Source organism: Homo sapiens, chromosome 2 (assembly GCF_000001405.40).
Source record: "Homo sapiens chromosome 2, GRCh38.p14 Primary Assembly".
NCBI lineage: Eukaryota > Metazoa > Chordata > Mammalia > Primates > Hominidae > Homo > Homo sapiens.
Genome location: NC_000002.12, coordinates 45,164,908 through 45,186,873, shown reverse-complemented (window position 1 = coordinate 45,186,873; position 21,966 = coordinate 45,164,908). Strand labels below are relative to the sequence as shown.

At 43.7% G+C, this 21,966-nt stretch overlaps 1 long non-coding RNA gene across 1 annotated transcript in view, besides 2 other annotated features; it reads left to right on the top strand.

Annotated features, from left to right (window-relative positions):
- LINC01121 (long intergenic non-protein coding RNA 1121) overlaps window positions 1-12,533 on the top strand; it is an 80,601-nt gene extending 68,068 nt beyond the window's left edge. Inside the window, exons 5-6 of the long non-coding RNA NR_033831.1 lie at window positions 11,661-11,759; window positions 12,287-12,533. This is a non-coding gene — a long non-coding RNA (long intergenic non-protein coding RNA 1121). The remainder of the gene's footprint in view (window positions 1-11,660; window positions 11,760-12,286) is intronic.
- Window positions 15,787-16,416: an enhancer, noted in NCBI's record as "H3K4me1 hESC enhancer chr2:45397597-45398226 (GRCh37/hg19 assembly coordinates)". NCBI's record gives its function as "activates a minimal SCP1, AML or CMV promoter by ChIP-STARR-seq in primed H9 embryonic stem cells {active_cell/tissue: H9 hESC(primed)}" and the evidence as "EXISTENCE:reporter gene assay evidence [ECO:0000049][PMID:30033119]".
- Window positions 17,282-17,782: an enhancer, noted in NCBI's record as "H3K4me1 hESC enhancer chr2:45396231-45396731 (GRCh37/hg19 assembly coordinates)". NCBI's record gives its function as "activates a minimal SCP1, AML or CMV promoter by ChIP-STARR-seq in naive H9 embryonic stem cells {active_cell/tissue: H9 hESC(naive)}" and the evidence as "EXISTENCE:reporter gene assay evidence [ECO:0000049][PMID:30033119]".

The following is a 21,966-nucleotide window of genomic DNA, read 5'->3' as shown; positions in this document are numbered from 1 at the left end:
ATCGCTGTTTAAATTAAGGCAATTTCACTAAGCAAGTGGTTTCATTCTACAGAATTCTGTAGTGTTTGCCCTCTCCTTACAGCAGTGAAACAAAACAAAAACAAACAAATCCAGTTTAGTCGAAACCTCACTGGTCTTTTGACTTGTTCTTGATGTTCAATGGGGTTGTTGAAGCTAAACAGATATTAAACAAATTCTACCCAGTTTAGTTTGGGAAATTAAATGCTGTCAGCCGTGGTCAGTTCTGCACACTCCACGCGGATGGAGAATGCTGGCATTGGTTATGATTGCCTTAAGTGCTTATTCTCTGATCAAGAGGCAGCATCTTAGCCTCTGCCAGAGTGGAGAAAGGACTGTACCATGGGTGCCATCCACCATGACCCACCTTACTGACGAGAAGCAGTGATGCATGGGATCTGTTCTTCCTGTACCCCTTTCAAGCATCTCCAAGTTCCTCCCCAAAGCCCTAAGGAGACTTTTGAAGCCACTCTTTGTCTCCTATTAACTTAAGGCTTGGGTGCTGGCTGTTAGCCAGCCAGAGTGGGGCAAAGAAGGCCAGAGCCCAAGAAAGGCCTCCGTGGCGTCAGCAGCCCCGGGGTCTGTCCAGCCTAGAATTCATGACTGCTGAGACACTCAGGTGTGGCTTGGGGATGGGACTGTGAGGAGCCATCTCCACAACCCCAGAAGGCAGAGCATGGACTGAACATTCAGAGAAACAGCTATCACGGTATAGCCAAATACTCCTGTGAGCTCTTCATATTTTTCCATCAGGGCCACATCTAGGAAGAGTTAATTTCATAAATTGACCTCCTACTGTCTTAAGTGGATATATCTTTCTCTCCTAGCTTCCAACGGAGCCATTTTACTTTTACCAACTCGAATTTGATGACCAACCAAAGAGAGAAAGAAGTAAATGACTACTACTAGGAATCTATGATGTTCTAAACCCTTTGCTAAATGTTCACTTTTGCTAAATTGTTTCACCACATGCCTATTATTTAGGTAGTTTCATCTCCATTTTACAGATGGAGAGTTACGCTGTAATATCTGGACCACCTAAGTTGGTTCTCCATGTTTCATCTGATTGCCTAGCCTGTAATACCATTATATGTTGCCCTATTGCAACTTCTGTCTTTCCAAATTAAAGAATCGATACTCCATGTCGGTGTATGTGGAGAAGAGGGATAGATATCTAAACATGTTGGCTGGAAACCACTATATCTTTCATCAAGTATTATTAAGACCTATAATGTTCTCAGCACTGTAGGGAGCAAGTGGAAAGAGGGCTCTCACCTGCAAGGACACTGCTACCTGTTTTGGGATACACAGAAAAACATGTCCACTTGCCTTCCACTTGTCTTCCTTGCAGCTGAGTCCCAGAGGCACAGGTTGTCATTTCAAGATGCAGAACAAGCATCACAAAATAATTCTAAGGATCCAGTGAGCTCCAAGGAGACTGTTGCCATAGCACCATCCCATACTGGTGAGTCCCAGAGTAGTCTTCTTCTCTGGTGAATGTGCCAGGGGCAGAAGGCACTGTTAGGTCCTCCAACTGACTGCCCCTTGCTGTGCTTCCTGTATGGCTCCACTGGATCCTGGAGGAAGACAGCTAAAATGGGAAGAGCAAAACGGAAGTGGTCTGGTGAAGAGAAGCAAGTTTGCTGAGCGTGCTGAGGCAGTCTTATGTAGGAGAACTCAGCTTCAATTTATGGAGCATCAGAATCCAGCCTCCCATGTGGCTCTGTGGCTCTGGCCTCTCCTTAAAACTTCCAGGAAGGAAGCTTCACAGAGGAAGGAAGGGGAGAGGGAGGAAAGCAAGGACAATTCCCACAGTGACAGAGTGCCTGGCCTGGGATGGCAGAGGGCAAAACTTGAAGGCTGGCTGCTGAGATGGGCGGGGAGGGCTGGGTGTGTTGGGGCTTATGTGTTCATTATGAGAAATGTCTTAATGACCATAAGTCCTGAGGGAGGCTGGAGAGCAATGCCTGGCACCAGCCACGCTTGTGCAGGGGCTCCTGTCCAGGTGAAAAACATGTACGGAGTGAGTAAGGAGAGAGATGGGAGTGTGTGGCTGCTGAAGGTGACTGATGGCCTTGGAATGCAACTCTGACTCCTGTGGGATTGGGTTTTACTGGAATGAGACACAAAGATTAGTGACTTTCAGCTGAGAAGGAATCCTCGTTCTTGGTTTCCAGAACCGTGTTTCTTCATGGTTCTTTGGGAGTTCCATTTGTGTTCTCCACCTCCAGACCTCTGCTCAAGACATTTATTCCTTCTTCCCATGAGTCCATATCCTACTAGGCCAGCCCAGGCCTCACCATTTCCATGAAGTCATCCTTGCTGGTCTAACTTGAAGCCTCCCTCCTCGAACCTGCTGACCTTCCACTGGCAGAGGTGATGTTAGTGTGAGATTCTCCAACAGGGATATGTGTTTAAGGGGAACATTTGTCTTCACAGAATCTTGAAGTTACTCAAAAATTCTGGGAGAACAAACTGATAAGATTTAATATATCAAAAGATTTTATGGAGTAAAATGCAAAGTTGACAAGCGTATTTAAATTAAAGCTGAGACTTCAAAACAATTTCATGAGACTGGAGGGCCACTTTGAGCCATACTCAACTGGGCACCTGCTTGCTATCCTCTCCATGAGAGAACTTTAGCAGATGAGTTTGGGGAGTAGGGAATGCGATGTCAGGAGGCATAGGAGGGCCTCTTTCTCTTCCTGGAGGCTGGGCAATGGGGAGTTGAAGCCTTGCTAATTGAGAGCAAAAGGAAATTGTTTTATTAAATTGCAGTTAAAAATAACAGCAAATACTATTTGTCACATACCTCCTATATGCCAGGTACTGTACTAGTTGCATTACACATTTTATTTCAATCAACTCTCATAAGTCAATGAGGTAAATATTACTCCCACCCTACAGCTGATGAAGTCAAGCCACGGTGAGGCAATGTAATGTCCCCAAGTCAAACAGCTAGTAAGATCAAGGTCCAGGATATGATCCTGAGTCTAATGGACTCTTAGCTTCTCTGCCATGCTGCTGTGGGTATATCAAGGAAGAGACCTGAAGCGTATGTCTCCACAATGCGTCACAGGCATTCCCTAAAGTTTTGTTATTTTTATGTTGGCCCCAAATGTTGACCTCTTCTGTTGCAGGTCCAGACTCTAGGTCATATGGAGAGCTCAGTTTGCCCTAGTGGTTCCTCCCCATGCAGGGGATCCTGGACCAGGTGTGTGGAAACCTCACCCCCCTAGCAACATCTGGAAGGTCTTGCTGGGCCCCCGCTTGACTTATCTACCAGAAAAAGAGTGGCTGGTCTGGTCTATCCTTGTATAAATTTGGGAAATTACCCAGTCAGATTTCAACATCAATAAGCGGCCAGGTGTGGTAGCTCATGCCTATAATCCCAACACGTTGGGAGGATCGCTTGAGTCCAGGAGGATCGCTTGAGTCCAGGTGGGAGGATCGCTTGAGTCCAGGAGGTGGAGGTTGCAGTAAGCTGATATCATGCCACTGCACCCTAGCCTGGGCAGACTTTATCTCAAATATAAATAAATAAATGAAGAGATGAGGATCAGATTTGTGGGCAGCTGGGGGATGGCTGGTTGTGATTCTTGTTCTGCATAAGGACATAAGGAACACTCAGGGTGAGAAATCAAGGCTGGAGTCCTTTACTGGGACAGTTTATTTGCAAGAACTTTTCCATTCAGTAAGCATCCTGGTTGGTATTTTTCACTGTGGTTGCAGTGAGGAACCCTGGTTATTTTTAATAACATATGCCACATTCATTGCATTCATTCAGTCCTATAGCATTTTATGATGTGTCTGACCCAGAAAAATGTGTGGCCAGTTTAGGGGGATGGGGACGGTGTGTCTTCATTCTCTGCCCTCTTTTAGCCTTCCCTTTCCTTGGCACTTTCCTGCAGAAATAGTGAGTTTTGACATCCCATGCACATTTTTCCACCGTCTTTTGGATTTGCCCCATCTGCCAAAAGGCCCTTGTAACTTTACACTGCACAAATTCATGTTTCAGGGACTTGCCAAATCTTGTCAAGTCCTAAAGTTTTTCTTGGCAGAGACTGCACCACTCCACGGAAATGGATCGGGTGAGTCCATCAGGCCCTGGTGCCGCTTCTCCGGGTGCCATGTGCAACTGCTGGGTCTTTCCTGACTCCCTTCCCAGGCTTCATGGGCACTGGCATACCCTGTGCCCTGCCTCTTCCAAGCCCACTGATTTCCGAGAGCATCAGCAGACTTCAGCACCTCCCAGGCCAGGGCTTGCAGGAACATCAGTTAAGTGATTGCTTTATCTTTGTCACCTCTGCCCACTCACCCACCACCCCTTGCCTTCACTGCCCCAACCATCTCTTCTGGTGGCTCCAATCCTTCAAATTAGAAGGGAAAGTCATTCATCCACTCAACTAATATTTATACAGAGTATTTATGCAACTCAGTTCCTTGTCTTAGGCACTTAATAGTGAACTTAACAGTGAACCAAACAGACAAAGGCCCTGCCCTCACGGCACTTACATTCTAACACGTCTAATAAAGCTCTAAAATGAAGTTAGGGTGATGTATTTGCAGCTAGTGTTCATTTTTCACCTTCACACGTATGATTGCACTTGTTTCTCTTAATAGCCTTTGAAGTAGGCACGGCATTTCACGGAGGAGAGAACTGAGGCTTCTTTCTTTCTTTCTTTCTTTTTTGGTTTTATTTATTTATTTTTTTTTGAGATGAAGTCTTGCTCTGTCACCCAGGCTGGAGTGCAGTGGCGCGATCTCAGCTCACTGCAGCTTCTACCTCCTGGGTTCAAGCAATGCTCCCCCTCAGCCTCCCGAGTAGCTGGGATTACAAGCGCATGCCACCATGCCTGGCTAATTGTTTTTGGTATTTTTCTTAGTAGAGATGGGGTTTCACCATGTTGACCAGGCTGGTCTCGAACTCCTGACCTTGTGATCCACCACCTCGGCCTCCCAAAGTGCTGGGATTACAGGCATGAGCCACTATGCCCAGCCGAGAACTGAGGCTTCTTTCTAATCATCCTCCTCCCTGGATGCCTGCTTCTTAAAAAGAAGAGTCTGAAAAAGTACAGTGAAACCCAAAAGGGATGAGTACCAGCCAGGTGTGGTGGAGTGTGCCTGTAGTCCCAGCTACTCAGGAGGCTGAGGCAGGAGAATCACTTGAGCCAAGGTGTTCAAGGCTATGGTGAGCTATGATTGTGCCACTGCACTCCAGCCAGGGCAACAGAGGGCAACAGAGGGCAACAGAGCAAGACCTGTCTAAAAAAAAAAAAAAAAAAAAAAAAAAAAAAAAAAGAAAGAGAAGGAAAGAAAAAAGAGAGAAAGAAAGAGGAATGGAGTACTGATGGTGAAGCTGATGGTGGAAGTTGGAAATCCAGGTCTCTATGGGGACAATATTTGGGACAGAGAGAGCTCTTTGGTCTTCTAAACCTATGGGCCAAACCTTGCCCAACACCTGTTTTGTATAATCCACAAGCTAAGAATGGTGTTTGTATTTTTAAATAGTTGAAAAAAAGTCAATGGAAGAATACCATTTTGTGACATGTGAAAATTATATGAAATGCACATTTCAGTGTCCATAAAGTTTTACTGGAACACAGCCATCCCCATCATTTATACATTGTCTATGGTGGCTTTCACGCCTCAATGGCGGAGTTAAGTAGTTGTAACAGAAATTGCATGTGGCCTAAAAACCCTAAAACATTTACTATCTGGACCTTTATAGAAAGTTTACTGACACCAGTCCTAGAATCATATGGTAGAGACAGCTATTTATATTCCATGTGCATAATACTGGCCTTGTCAGGCAGGGAGGAATCCCTCTGTCTCAATCTGCCTGTGGAAGAAAATAAAGTGGACTGAATGTTGCAGGCTGAGAACTAGTCCCTGACATCTGTTTTCTCTTCAGCACACAGAGGCAGCCCTTCTGGGAAGTGTTCTGACAAATGCAAGATTCCTTCCTGGCAGAATTGTCAATGTTATTTGCCAAGTTCAGGAGCAAACCTTCATCTTGGGAGGTTCTGGGCTCCTGGATGGGGGTCTCTGCAAATTTAAATAATAATATTCATGCCTATGGAAAGAAGACAGGACTAACAGAGGAAGCAGGTTCAAGTGCCCCCTCTGCCACTTAATAAGTGGTGTGGTATTGAGCAAATCCCTTAATCTCAATTAGAAAGATGCCTTGGTTCTCTCCTCTGTGAAATGGCCCGCCTTGCCTACTTCAAAAGCTATTTAGAGAAACAAGTGCGACCATATGTGTGAAGGTGTTTGTAAAGTGAACAGCAGCTGCAAATACATCATCCTCTCCCTTCCTATGAGTGGGTAGTAATATTGTTGAATTCTCTTCCTTCATTCTTCTTTGTCTGTGGAGACCCAGTCAGAGGGATGCCTACAACAACATTCTCCTTCCCTTCAGTCTGGGTCTCCACCTGCCCTGAACCCCACCTCCTACCCCCTCACCCCAGATTCCACCTACTCTCTGAAATCAGCTTTAGGGAGTCTCAACCACATGGTGGGCAACAGACCTCACACAACCAAATGAGAACAGCCCTGCCGTTCTTCCTCCACGGCCGCGTCTCTTAGTTTGCAGGATGCCACAGCTGCCTTCCTTCAAATAGCCCCAAACCCCCTACAATGTATGATGCAACTACCAGTCACAGCCTCCTCAGCCTGTTTGGTTATTTCTCCCTGCCAGTCTGTATAAATCTCACCCTCTCAAAGTGCAGTGAGTTTCTATCCCACTGTGTACCCCTGATGATTCTAAACTTAACAACTACCTTCTTTTGGTAGTTTAGGGTTGGGGAATGTGAAATGTGCAGACAGGAGTGATTTCTAAAAGTCAAAATACTGGCTGGGCATGGTGACTCACACCTGTAATCCCAGCACTTCGGGAGGCCGAGGCGGGTGGATCACTTGAGGTCAGGAGTTCAAGACCAGCCTGTCCAACATGGCAAAACCCCGTCTCTACTAAAAATACAAAAAGTAGCTGGGCATGGTGGTGTACGCCTGTAGTCCCAGCTACCTGGGAGGCTGAGGCATGAGAATTGCTTGAACCTGGAAGGTGGAGGTTGCAGTGAGCCGAGATTACACCACTGCACTCACTCCAGTCTGGGCAATAGAGCGAGACTCCATCTCAAAAAAATAATAAATAAAATTTTTTAAAAAAAGTTAAAATCTTCCTCCCTTACTGGACCATTAGCACTGTTGGGGCAGAGACTTCTTCTGTTCTGCTGCTTTCTGTTGTGTCACCAACAGCCACATGGTGCTGGGCACATGGTAGAGGCTGACAAAATGATTCTCTGAGTGCATGAATGAATGAATGGTATCTTGGGATTTAATAACAAGACCTTGGTCATCCTATGGATACCTTGTATGAGTTTATATACAACGCTTCTGTGATAAACACAGCATTCTACGTACAGTAAGTGCCTAATACATGTAGGTGGATGATGACAACAATGAATATGAGGTTGAAAAGTCAGTCTTCCAAACAACACATGAACAGAACAACACATGTGAAAGGGGTCTAAGTTTAATAGAAACCTAAAAAAAAACACAAATGAACAAAAAAACCCCTTTCTATCACAAGAGGGCTAGTATCTTATACTTCACATTTTGTTCAAGGACTGAGTTGCCATAAGTTGGAACTTTGACATGTGACTTGGGGAGTCTGGGGTGCATCATCGGTTGCATCTCCTGAGAAAATTCTCAAACTAGGAAAAAATATGTTGACAGTGAGCCACAAAGGTTGGTATTTGTAGCTGCCATCCTCAGTGTTTAGGAGAAATAAGTTTTCATTATGGGACATGGAACAGATGTCAAATCCCCAGCCATCCTTGTGCTGTTTGCTGTTTGTTGAGTCACCCTGGAGCTTGTCCATCCCGGCACCAATTTTCATGGGAAGCATCAATGTGGGGCCAGAAGGCCATGCTGATGGATGGGCTCACAAGAGGAGAGCTGGAAGGGGGGCCTTCTGTTGGCTCTGGTCATCTTAATTCTTCGGCCACTTTGCTCCCCTTACCCCAAGTCCTCGTCCCCATCACCTTCATCCTCCCCTCCCGAGCTGGATTCTCAATTCTGTTGCCAGGCTCCCATGCCAGTTCCTGCAGCACTGGCTTACCAGTACAGAAGTGAGGGCTGCAGAAACACCTCTGTGCAAGGCACACATGTTGTTTGTGCCACCCATGGGCAGCTAGAGCTCTAAGAAGGGATAGACCATTTCCTGGACAGTGGTAGAAGGAGGTGAGTAGCTTTCTCAGTGTTTTCCCCTGGGGCCCCACAAGAGAAACCTTGAACTATCCTGACTTGCCAACTCACTCCAGGGCTCCACAGTGTTCCCAGGTATTCTTGCTGACCCAGCCATGTCCACCAGCAGACTGGACTTCTCATTTCCCTTACTATTCTGAACGAAGCAGACAATTCCCCTTCTCCTTTAATTAAACCAAGATAATGCTGGGATTTTGCAAAAAAAAAAAAAAAAAAAAAAAAAAAAAGAACTTTGCTAGAAATCTAAGGAAAAAAACCCCAAACATTTAAAATAGAGTTTCCTAAGCCTGGCAGACTTCATTAGACAAGATTTCTGGTCCTTCTCCCTGTTCTTATTTAACTGGGCTCCTGGACCAGTCACGAAGGGCTCTTGCCTTATAGGCACATGCTTAGCGTTCGTAGATACAGCTGGTTTCCACTATGACTATGCCATTTTTCATTCCCATCAGCAGTGTGGGAGAGTTCCATTGCTCAATGCTTGCCCACCTTTGGTATTTCAGTCATTTCGTGGGCGTGTATTATTTTGTGGGATTGTGGTTTTAATCTGCATTTCCCTGACGAATAAAGATATTGAGCAACTTTCCCTACACTTATTAGCCATTTGGTTATCTTCTTTTATAAAGTTTGAATCTTTTGCACATTTTTTAACTGGATGCACGCCATTCATCAGATACGTCTATTGCAAGAATCGTTTGCCAGTTTGTAGCTTGCCCTTGTACTCTCTTCATGCTCCTATGGCCCAAGTGAAATCCTTTTGTAATATAAAACCAGAGTCAGAGGGAGTGAATCTACAGTATGGCAGTCTGCTTTTACTTGACTGCATTTCCAAATCACTTTTCAGAAAGTCAATAATATTTATAACTCAGCACCACAGAAGGTGCCCTTGTGTCCTCTCCCAATCAATTCCCCATCCTGCAAAAGTAAATTCTATCCTGACCTTTATCACCATAGATTTGTTTTGCCTGTTCTCATCTTTCACATAAATGGAATCATACTGTGTATACTCTTTTACATCTGGCTCCTTTTGCTCTACATTATGACTATACGGTTCACCCACTTTGTGTATAGTGATAGTTTGTTCTTTTTCATTGCTACGTGATATTCCTATGTGTAAATATACTGCAATTTGGGTTCTTTCCAGGTTGATGCTATAGTGAATAAAGTTGATAAATATTTATATAAATGAATATTTATATTTATAAATATATAAAATACATAAAGCTATATTCTTGTACCTGTCTTTTGGTAGACAAATCCAATCTTGGGCCTATAACTAAGAATGGAGTTACTGGGTCTTGGGCATCAATTTGTGCTTTGTTTTAGTAGATACTAAAAGCTTTCCAAAGTGGGTATACTAGTGTACGTTCCCACCCACAGTGTGTGAGTTTCAGTTGCTCCATATCCTCTCCAACACTTGACATCATGAATTTCTACTTTTTCAGTCCTTCTGCAATTTGTGTATTTGAGTGAAGGCTTAATTTGCATGTCCTGATGACTAATGATATTGAGCACCTTTTCAAATGCTTACTGGCCATTTGGATATCCTCTTTGTGAAGTGTCTGTGGAGTCTTTTGTACATTTATGATCTTTGGGTTGTATTTGTTTTTGACTTGTAAGAGCTCTTTATATATTGTGGATATGGTGGATATGAATCTTCTGTCAGATATATGTCTTGAATATTTTCCTCCCAGTATGTGGTTTGCCTTTCCATTTTCTTCAGTAATGTCTATTGATAAGTGAAAGTTCTTAATTTGAATGAAGTTTAAATGATCAATCGTTGTCTACTCTTCAGGAAGACACTCCTGCTTGGGCTCTCTCTCTGCTCTCTGCTGCCAGGCTACAGGCTGTTCTGCCTGATCTGCATGTGCCTCTCCCACCCTTACTGCAGATCCCCTCCTCTCTGGGGATTTGCTCTGTTTGCTTGACAAAGACTCCCTGGATGGAGACTGAAGCTCCCTGGATGGAGGCTGAGCTCCACCCTGGGCTCATTCACCAAGCAGAGGTGATTCACTCATCCTTATCAAGTCCTTCCTGGCTCTGGTTACCACTCTCCTACTTTGAAGGTGATTTTGACACTTCCTCCAGTGTCCTCTTATCAAGGGAATGCTTCTCAAGATCTCAACTCTACAGGATTACAATATAAAGTTACTTTTCATCTTAGGAACAAGATCTTATATCACAGGTTTAATGTTGACACTCCAAACTTGGGCCCAGTGTAATCCAATCAAAATCTACTCATATGGCTGTGACCATCTCATTTCATATCTCTAAGGTACTATTAGAACTGCCCCCTCTTCCTCCCTCTAAGGGGTTCTTCAAGAGGAAGTAAGGAGATTTGCAAATGCAATCAAGGAAAAGCAGAAGTCCATAAACTTGGATGAAAAACTTACATTTTCATTTCTACCAATCATTATTTAAAAATTAGCATTTCTTTTCATTATGAATGTAGACAACAAGCTACAGATGCATTAGCAATACCTGTGACTTTCTCACCAATAGAAATCACAGATACCTTCATATCACATTATAGTTGTTGAGGATATTTTGAATTTATCATTAACGCTTATCATTGTTTCAATATCACAGAAATTATTAGACTCACCACTAGATCTTGCATTTGATGTGCTAACAAAGAAATATATCACAAACTTATTTCTTAAAAAAATCTTGATAATTTTATTTCTATATATATATATTTTTGTTTTTGTTTTTTTTTCTGAGACAGAGTCTCGCTTTGTCACCCAGGCTGGAGTGCAATGGCACAATCTTGGCTCACTGCAACCTCCACATCCCAGGTTTATGCGATTCTCCTTGCCTCAGCCTCCCAAGTAGCTGGGATTACAGGCACACACCACCACGCCTGGCTAACTTTTGTATTTTTTTTAGTAGAGACGGGGTTTCACCATGTTGGCCAGGTTGGTCTCAAACTCCTGACCTCAAGTGATCCGCCCACCTCGGTCTCCCAAAATGCTGGGATTACAGGCATGAACCACCGTGCCTGGCCAATTTCAATATAACTTACACGTTTAGAAACATTCTGAGAAATAGTCTGTACATTTTACAAAACTGCCAAAGGGTCCCACGCAAAAAAAAGATTCAAAAATTCCCATCAACTAAGAGATCCTCTTAAACCCATAGCAACTTAAAACCATTCATTGACCTATGCTGATAAACTAGCAGCCATGCGTCTGCATTGGGTGGTGCTGAAATCCACTCTATCTTTGTGTTTCCTTGACACAGGGTTGTAGGGGAAGGGTGATGAATCTCAGTGGGCCCAGGCATGTGGCTCCAGTTTTCCTTCCCAGTTTTCCAGTGGGCCTGGGCATGTGGCATTCCAAGGATCCTGAAAGAATAGGGCATCTCTTTTGCAGGTCACAGGAAATGGGTAGCTATCCAGCTAAATAGATTTCATGCTTGACTTCAGTGGAATAGCTCAAATGATGATCTGTTTGGGAGAGTAAATTAAAGAGGTAAGTGGGCATGATGGTTTTATTTGGTTTAACTTTTGCTGGTTTAGTTGCTCCCCTAAGCATTTTTTAAAAATATAGACCTCTTCTCCCAGCATCCCGCTCTCTCAAATTCTGGCCAGATCCTGCTTCTCAGGGAGCACTAACTTTGAATTAGCTTGGAGGGAAGGCCTTACCAAGAACTCCTTTCTCTACAAGATAATCAAAACATGACCATTCTTTTCTCATAACTCCAAATACACAGTCCCTTGGTATCCACTGGGGATGGGTTCCAGAACCTCCCAAGAATACCAAAATCCACAGATGTTCAAGTCCCTTATATAAAATTATATGGTATTTGCATATAACCTATGCATATCCTCTTATGTAGTGTACTTTGTCATCTCTAGATTACTTATAATACCTAATACAATGTAAATGCTTTGTAAATAGTTGTTATACTGTATTTCTTAGAGAATAATGACAAGAAAGAAAAGCCTATGATGCGTTCAGTACAGATGAAACCATCCTTTTTTTTTTTTTCTGAATAGTTTCCATCCGAGGTTGGTTGAATCCACAGATACGGAACCCACAGATATAGAGGGCCAACCATACTGAGTCCTGACTTCACCCATTCCTTCTACCCCCATCTCTCCTAATCCTTAAACTTCCTTGCAATTCCTGGAGCAGAATACTCGTGTAGGAGTCAGGGGTTGTCTTCCCTTCCTAGAAGCAATGCTTCTATGTTCTCATTTGATGTTGAATAAAACATTAAACAGAAAAGCTTTGATAACATCACATAAGAGTCTATTTCCTTGGCTCACACCATGAGAACTAGTGAGATCCCCAGTTCCTCAAAACTGGGGAACAGTATGCTTCATATTGCTATCTAATATGACCCACCAACCCCATCTTCCACCCTCCACCTTCCCCTTGCATCCTAACCTTCCATTTCATCATGCAAGCTGCTGTAGTCGTGAGTTGTTTTCTGAGACGAGTGAAGGACCACTGACATCTATGTCTTCTGTAAAGAGTAGTGTAGACATGGCTATAACCACCACCTCCTCCTCTCTTCCCCATTAACGTCACTTAAATTTTGAATGTTTGACTGTGCTATTTTCAAAGACACTGTAGCGGATTCTGCACATGACATGCTTCCAAGGCACTATAAGTTGTCTGTAAAAAGCTAAGGCTGTCACTTGTTATCAGGACCTCTAACCAAGTTGTTGAAGTTGACAGAGTTTTATTAGCTCTGTTTTTGCAATAGTCTGTCTTATTCTGGAGACAAATGGGGAAACTTTGCCTTCACACTGGGTTTGTTTTATAGCTCTTAGATGTGTAATACAAATGAATGATGTTGAGCCATTTCCAGCCTGCAGTGATGGGTGTCAGTTTCTTGGACACCACTAGGAAATCTGTAACGCTGAGCCACGTCATAGTGATTCAAAGGCAAGCTGTCCTGGAGACAGGGCTGGACTCTGTGACTCACAATTAGAACTCTGTGATTCTAGTTCTGACCCTTCTTGTAATGACTGTGTGGCCTTAGATAGGTCCTTTCATTTTGGTTCCATTTCCTCATCTATAAAGACAGAGACCTGGATGAGCTCTAAGTCCATTCCAGCTCTGTCAGTTTATTATTCTAATAAATGAATTACCAAAAAAGTCGTGAAAACATCCAATCAAGAAAAGTAACTGTGATTCTGTTTTATATGGTGTTAAAGATTCCCACTTGACTTTTGAGTCTCTTTACTCAGTATATGTACCCCAAGGTTCTACTAGATTCCCATAAACTATTCTTTAAAATTGACCTTGGGCCAGTATAAAATCCTGTCTTATTATCCAAGGCCCAGATTCTGAGTTGTAAGAAGGTCTATTTAAAATGGTATGTTTTTCTTGCAGCGATTGTTAAGTGGTCAGGTTTTATGATGTTTTAACATTCATTGCCATTCATTATCTAAACACTGTTCTATAATCCAGGGAGTGTGAGGTTAATAAATAGAATGGAATTCATTCTGGGTTTGATTTCATCTGCTGATTCTAGTGGAAGTCTCTTTATATCTATTCCTTCTTTCTCAACATGTTTAAGCAGAGAAACTCTGGCTCTCTGTTCATGATCTTAAATCTCTTTGACTTTGGGGAAGGAAAAAATGTTGCTGTCTTCAGCCCCAAGTTCAACAACTGTAAAATGCGGTGACATGTCATAGGAAGAGAAATCCATTCATCATCACTACATTTTTGAGTGACTTAAATATTCACCATATAACAATATGAATATTTAAATCACTTACTTGCCTTTTTACTTTTAAAACAGAGAATTTTTCCACCTGTATAATGTTCATGAGTCCTAATGTTATAATGTTACATTACATTCATCTGTTCCATTTTATAATGCTCCAAGAAGGAACAGTAGGGAAAGAAAGCTTCACAGTACACGATGGACATTTCACAGTCCAGCTGCATCTCAGGCAAAAGGCAGCCCTGTTGAAGCTGCTAAATGTTCCACTTCACCTATTACGATTATGGATGGCACAGATGGATTTTTGGAAGGCTGTGTCCTTTTAGCCAAGTTATTCTCCCATTGAACAAGGCGCTCACTCTCCTACCTTCCCATTTCTGACTCCACCACCACCACTCCCTCCTAAGTACACACTAACACTTGGACTTGGACTACATTCACCAAAACATATAGTTTCATTAACTGATTGCTTTGCTGCACTCCAAATGGCCTAACATTTTGTAGCTGAAGGAGTGTAAATCATGCCTTATGTGGGCTACAGTAGGATGTGATGTTTAGAGAAAGGAAAATATGCTTCCTTATAGAAGCAAGAGGCACTAAGCCATCTGGATTGTAGAGAAAAAAATTTGGTCATTCATTCTGATGTTTTGTCTGCGTAGTACCAAACATCTGGAAGTTGGGTGACAGACTGAATTTTTCACATCCAGATATTTCTGCATTATACTGAAACACAACTATATATTTTTAAGACTTTAAATAGTAAAAGCATAAAAGATGTACTAATTTCACATTTTGAGGTAGAAAAGACAAATGAAACTGAGGCAAACTTCTGGTTAGTTCTTTATGTAATATGCTATTTTTGTTTTTCAAAAGTCACTTTCTGCAACTAAACTCTTAGAATTAAAATAACTATGAAGAAATATCCCCAGAAATACTGAATGTGTGTCATTAAAAAGCACAATTTAGACTGTTGCTTAACAGCTGAAATGTTCACATACTGCAAATTCAGGTAACACTTGGACAGTTAAAAGCAATTATTCCGAAAAATAATTGCTTAGTAGTTTAAGAGAGTTTCATTCCAAGTGACTCTGAAAACATTTATTCCTTCCACACAAATGAGAATGCATGGTCAAGGTTCTAACGGGACTTGCAAGGAGACTTTTCAGACCTTTTCAAGAATCAGTTTTGAGAAATGCATTTAATGATGCAAAATAAAAATTAAGATTCCATCTGTTGGAGCCACCTTGAACACTTGTCAGAAGAACACAAGCAGAAAGGAGTATTTAAGCATTCTGTAACACGACCATTTGAAAAAAAAGTAAAATATTTTGTGTTGTTTTGAGAACTGCATTTTTCTTGTCCTCTCACATTAAGTGGCCTTGGATCTAAGGCTTGTTAGAAGACATGTTCAGAACCTGTTTCCTTGTATTAGAAGACACGGAAATCTGGCTCTCAACTGCCAACAGGCTTCGTGGGCATTGCTATGCCATGAGAATTCTAATATATTTTTCATTATTTCCACAAAGGCATATAGAGTGTGTACATTACACACAGCAGTATAATTGAGCTGAACTGGCCTGGTGCCGCGTTTTTGCTGACTCAGCACATGGTTTCTCTTTCCCAGATTACTAAAACAACTTTCCTCTGAGGTAAAAGCTCCGCAGAAAAGCAAAGGGGAATAGAAATACAGAGGGGCCTTATTTTCACCCTTAATTATACCAAGTCCAAAGGCAAATGCAAAATCAGATCGAACTTTTTGAGGCTTCAAAAATAAAAAAATGTCCCCCTTTGCTTCTCCTCCCAACCCCTGCGCCCGTGGGAGTCACAGTAAATTAGAACCCAGCTTGTTTTTCAGCGATGAATTTGCACCGGGCCTCTTGCGCTTGGGGTGGCGTCCTCGATGCGGATTGCCCGTGCCTTTTTTACGCTTTGTGTACGGTATTTTAAGCGAGGCAGGCCAACCTCGTTTTGTATGGACTTGCACCAGCAAACATTTAAGAGTTTCGCATCAAGGATACTGCATATCCCAGACACTGCGTACAAACTTTTAGGACTTGGGGTCACAGCACTTGTTCCCCTTCTCCGCCCGCTTCAGCGCTAGAGCCTGCAGAGATTTAGGGTCATGTGTGCGCGCCGGCCCACAACATACTACTAAGTGGCAATGGCCGGTTCCCAGACGCATCCAACATCCTTCAAGTTCGGTTTTCTGCTCCCTAACACACTCAGCCATTGGTGCAGCGGGAATCACTGGGCTCCGATTAGCACGCGGGACAGAGGCAGGCGGAATACTGTGAACCTCCGGTCTGCCCCCCTAAGCCCCTCATCTCCCCCATGACCCGCTAGCTAATCAGTGCAAATGCCGTAGGAGGCCAGGCCCGCAACTGGCATTCCAGAGAGCGCGGACCACCAGCCGAGCTTTAAATAAGTGCAGATGTGACAGGCAGGGGAGACCCAGGGAGGGCCGCCTCTCCCGCCCCGCACCTCCCTCCAGGCTCAGGCCGGTGCGCCGCAGGCAGCAGCCATGCACACAAGGCGCCCGCGGGCAGTAATGTTGCCCGGGACTGGGGCGCACACCAAGTGACTGCAAAGGGAACGGAGGCCCGCGAGTTCGAGGGCAGCGCTGGAATGGTGTGAGCCCCGTCACCCATCCCTTCCTTGGCCCTACGGCTTCTTCCTGAAGAGGCTGGGGGATAGCGGCCCATCCTCGCCTCCACCCGTCCGACCGTCGGGAAATCCCGAACCCGGCTGGCTGGAAAGCCGGGAAGGTCTGGCTCATCCGCCGCAAGGCCTAGCCCCACCGCCGACAGCCGGGAATCGCCCCCACCCCACACGGAAATGCACCTTTCCGGTTCCCAGCCCCGAGCTGGGAGCCGGGCGAGAGGGCGAGGTTGCAGGCGTCTCTGCCTGCGGGCGGCGGTGTGCGGTCCTGGGCGTGCGGGCCGCGGCGCGGGGACAGCTCAACTCCAGGACAGCGCCACGCGACCGCCACCGCGGGGTGGGGCCTGACCCGGGGCGAGAGACCGCCCTTGGAACCGCGACCCTCAGCCTCCGCTCTAGCCCGACTGCTGGCTCCGTATCTACAGGGCTGGTGGGAAAGCAGAGAGAAGGAGGAAACGGACCCTGGCGCGCCCCGGTGTTTCGTCTGCCCGGAGCTAGACTCCGACTGTCTTCACAACTACCATCCCCAACTACCCTACCTCGGGCGGCTCCACTCACTCCATACCGGCCCGGGTCTCCCAGCCCGCGCGGCCATTCTCGCCTACGGTCTCGCCCTCCAACCCGGGCTCAGCTTCGGGTCGGAGCAAACCCGCTTTCGCCCGTCCCCGCCCGTCTCCGCGGGTGCCATTCCGTTCGCCCAGAGGGTGGCGGGGTTCGGAGCTGCAGAACACTTGGCTGCTGCCCGCCGACCTCACCCCACCAGCCCCCCCGTCTCCCCGTCACCCCGGTTCCCCAGTCCGTGGCGCTTCCCTCCCTCCAGTCCGCGCGCCCGGCCGCCGCAGGAGCGGCTCCCCGCCTTAGCCCGCAGGCCGCGAGGTGCACGGCCCTCTCTACCGAGAAGCCTGACCGCCCCGGGCCTCCCCGTCGGCCTCCAGCGCCTACACCCGTTTCGGCGCCCACTCTTCGTTCTGCGCCCCTAGATGCCCATCGGCTGCGGGAGAGGCTCCCGGAAAGCTCGGTGGGGCCCCGCGCAGAGCCCGCCCGCCGGAGCCGCAATGCTGCCATGGTTTCCCCGCGCCACCAGCCAGGCAAGGCGCGGCGCGAAGGGCTCTGGGAGGAAGCCGTCGGCACCTGCGGGCACTGCACCCTCCACTCCCCGCCTGCCGTCCCCCGCCTGCCGTCCCCCGTCCGCAGCGCCCACAGCCACGTGCGCGGAGCGGAGCTGCTCCCGGCCGGGGGCAGCCCAGCCCCCGGCGCCTGAAGGGGCCGCCGCGCCCGCCCCGCACCTGCACCCTCCTCTCCCACTTGCCTTTCCATCTGCGCGCGGAAATGCCACGGGCTTAGAACAAACTTTTATTTTTTTTCAGCGACATTCACGAGAGAGACGAATAGGACACGGTCATCCGAGTGCCGAGGCGCGGAAGCGCGAACTGCCCGGAGCGACCTGGCTTGGCGCACAGACTCATTAACCAAGCCCGAGAGGAGGCAGCAATGCGTGTGCGGGAAAGGGAGCGGTTCTCAAAATACAAAGTGATAAAACAGCTTCCAGTTATATTGAAAAACGATGCAAACCCTCAATTCCTTTTTTTTTTTTTTGGACCTGGCCGGACCTGGAAATGCCGGTTATAAACAAGAATAAAAACTTGAATTTATTGGTGGAAGTCCTGTTAAAAGAGCTCAACACAAGCATATGAGACAAACTGCAAGGTGATGAGACGACCATGCTATACATTGAGGGGAGAGTCGAATGAATTTTTCTATTATTTTGTAAAGTGCAAAATTTAGCTAAACAAATTTAGCTAGTGCAAAATTTGCTGCAGGTTTCCCTACAGCAAACGATCTCAGATAATATGGTTACTTTCCTAATGTAAGAATTCTTGGTGATGTATCACCTAAAACAGCACTCACAAGATTTCTGATCATGTAACATAAACAGCAGGACATAACCAAGCTAAAGAGCTAAGTCTCCTTGTGTAAATACTTAATTCCATCATTCAAAAATAGTTGTTGGTTTGTATAGTAAATCTAAATCACCACAGGGCCAAACATAGCTGCCTTTTCATGAGTAGTATCTCAACTTTCCTCCAACCCCAAAGAAGACAAACTCAATGTCAGTATTTTGTTCTTTAGCGGGGAATAAATTGTTCTTTTCAGCCGCTTGAGGTGCTCCGGAATAAGATGTTCGAAGCGTTTCTGTAAGGATAGCCTGGCTGATGGTGCAGGTGTGGGCTGATTTAAATTACTCGCTTTTGTGTTTTTCCACAGGGTCAAATGTAGGCACTGATTTTAGGGAAGGCAGAGAAAGTAAGACTTCCTGAGTTAAAATGCCCATGTGCCCAGCCTCAGATAAAAAAGAGAATACAAACCTGACAAGGCATTAGCTGATGCATCAAATGATGTGCCTATCAGCATGCATGTCATCAATAAAAAAATTATTTAATATTTGCATTCAATTAGTCAAATGATTCCACCATTTTAAGAATTTTCACATATAAGAAATTAGTAAAATAATCAGTCAAATATTCTACACTCATTTAATGGTAAATTATCGAGCAGCAGTATCCTTATTTAATTTGTAGGTGTATTTAATAGGGAATTGGAGTGGTTAAAAATGGAGTGCAAGAATTTCAGTTAATTTTTCTAGACTAGTGGCAAATACTAACAAAATTACTCAAGCATTTTTTAAAAAAATCATTTTGGAACAAAAGACTAACTGTAGGAAACAAGATCAGAACAGACTTAAATTAACATCTGAAGACATTAAGGAACTGAGTATACGGTTTCTTAAATGACAAAAACTCTTAGTGGCCTTTTAAAATCTCTGCTAAAACACATAAAATGGGCTGCATTAAGATGGTTATTTTGTCTTAGGTAAGTAGAATTTCTTGTATACCATCATAAGAAACTAAAAGTGATGTTGGTTTTATTCCCTAAGTACCAGTAATTTAAATTCCCTGAATATAATTGATCTCATTATGTTGAATCATAGGACATAAAAGCTACTGGGGAATCTCTTTATATATAATTATGCAGATAAGTAGAAGTTTTTAAGTCACTAAAAACTAGACATATAAATTTTCTGAGTTGAAGGAGCGACTGTAAATCTATCTTATATAATTTTCTAGCCATCTTTTAGTATGAGATAAATTATAGCATATAAACATCCTTGGGATCAGTTTTATTATAAGGAAATTATTTTCTTTGCTGTCAGGGATGCCCATGAGGGCAAATTTTTATTATATTATTGAGAGCTGTTAAATTTGATGATTAAACAAATAACTCCAAACCACTTCTCAGAAAAGTTCTCAGACTATTAATAATATTTTACTTCTGAGAAATGCATTTAAAAATATAAAATTAGTGGCATTAATATTGAATTTTCATAACCAAGAATCTGTGCATAGAACAGGAAATATGTGCAAATAAAAAGTAAATATCGAGGTCCAGGTGGAGAAGGACATTAAAAATTATGCTTGGCAGAAAAATAATCTATTTTACCAACAGTTCTTAAGGTCTGCCCTTTACGATGATGAAACTGCCCAGGCACCCCCTCACCAGCCTCAAACAATTGCAGCTGTGTGTATGTGTTGTGTTTTTTTTTTTTTCCATTTCAATCTCCATTTAGCCTTTGCAGAGTAAAGAAATAAAGGAAGAATGAAAATCTTGAGCTACTCTGACACTTATAAGGACTTATAGTTTATTAATTGGAGAATTTAGCTTATCCCCCCTCTCTATTCATCTGAAATTAATTAAGTGTGTAGAATTACAAGGTGGGTGTATCCGAGACAGCAGGCCCTGCTCGGACTAATCAAAAGGGCACATGTTGAATGAGCACAATTTAGTTAAGGTTAATCCAGTGAAGATGATACCTCCCTGTTCTTAATTACTCTAGGTGATAGATTGTGGAATGGGAAAGTAGGAAGGAAGGGAAATTCAGTCCTACTGAATACCAGGATTTTCTAATTTAATTTAGCTCTCTGTTTTCACAGAAGCAAACAGTCTCCATTCAGAGAGCAGGACCACACTCTGGGTTCTTGTTTAAGGTGAGTCAAAGAAAAAAAAAGTTATTTGCATGTGTGTTTTTGAGAAAAAGTCTTGGAAACCAAATATGAAGGTTTCAAAGGTGTTCTTGATAACGCGCCTTTGATTACAGACGTGTCAGTTTGAGAATTTTGTCACAGCTCAGTGGTTTCTTTGTGATTTCTGCTGGTGGTTGCTTACTTTGTTGAACTCTCTTCTGAGTGCCGAGACTGGTGAATATGCTGAAATAAATCGACATGTTTCTATACCTACAAGACTGCATTAAAGAAATGAATATATCTGTATTATTAAAAAGAATACCATTTAAATATCAATAAATACAGAACTAACCACCATGGATGAATCGCATACACATAATACTGAGCAAAAGAAGCCACACGCAAGAATATGTACTTTATGCTTCCATTTATATAAAGCTCAAAAACAGGCACTAATCCCTAGTGTTACGCTAGCCCCACTATAGTGAGGGTAGTGGTTACCCTCAGAGGAGTAGTCAGTGACAAGTTTCTGGGGCACTGATAATGTTCTGTTACATAGGTGTGTTTGCCTTATGAAAACTCATTGAGCTTACACATTTGTGAACTTAAGACATGCATTTTTTCTGTATATATGTTTTATTTGAATAAAACGCGTACTTTACAAAATGAAAATGAATAAGGGAAAAAATACTAAGAAGTAAAGGCATGGAATTGTGAGCCAATATATTTTTAAAAGGCAGAGAGGTTGGAGCTGAGGGCTGAGGATATAATTCCTAAAGAGAAAAAGAAACGCATGAAAACATCTGGCAAAATATTATTAGCAAGGTTTGAATGTGTTCACTTTGCCACTTTAATATCTACCCACCCACAAACAGAATACTACTCAGTATTCATTCCTCACCAAATATAGGGATCTTTCTTGTTTCTTTTGCATGTGTTAAAGTCAAAGTCTGATTAAGGTGTTTAAGAATCTTATTCTTTGTCTGTGTTTAAGATGCAGCACTCCCTGATCCTAAAAATCAAAAACAAAAAAAGCTTATTTTCTCCATGCATGTGCATTAAAAAATCATCAGATGATTTTCTCATTTTCAGTTTTGTGATATATTTTCTTCTTGAGAGGGGATATCTGTTTCTGATTTATTAGCATTTGATCCCCTAGTTTCCTGCCATTGATCAAGCCTAATACTTAGTTCAGCTGATGAGTTTTATATGAAATCTGATATTTCAGGGAGATGGAAGGTTGAACCCATTTTTAATATTTGTTTGCCCTTCATCTCTTTCAGCGTTTGACGTGCACATGAGACACCTAACAAAGCCT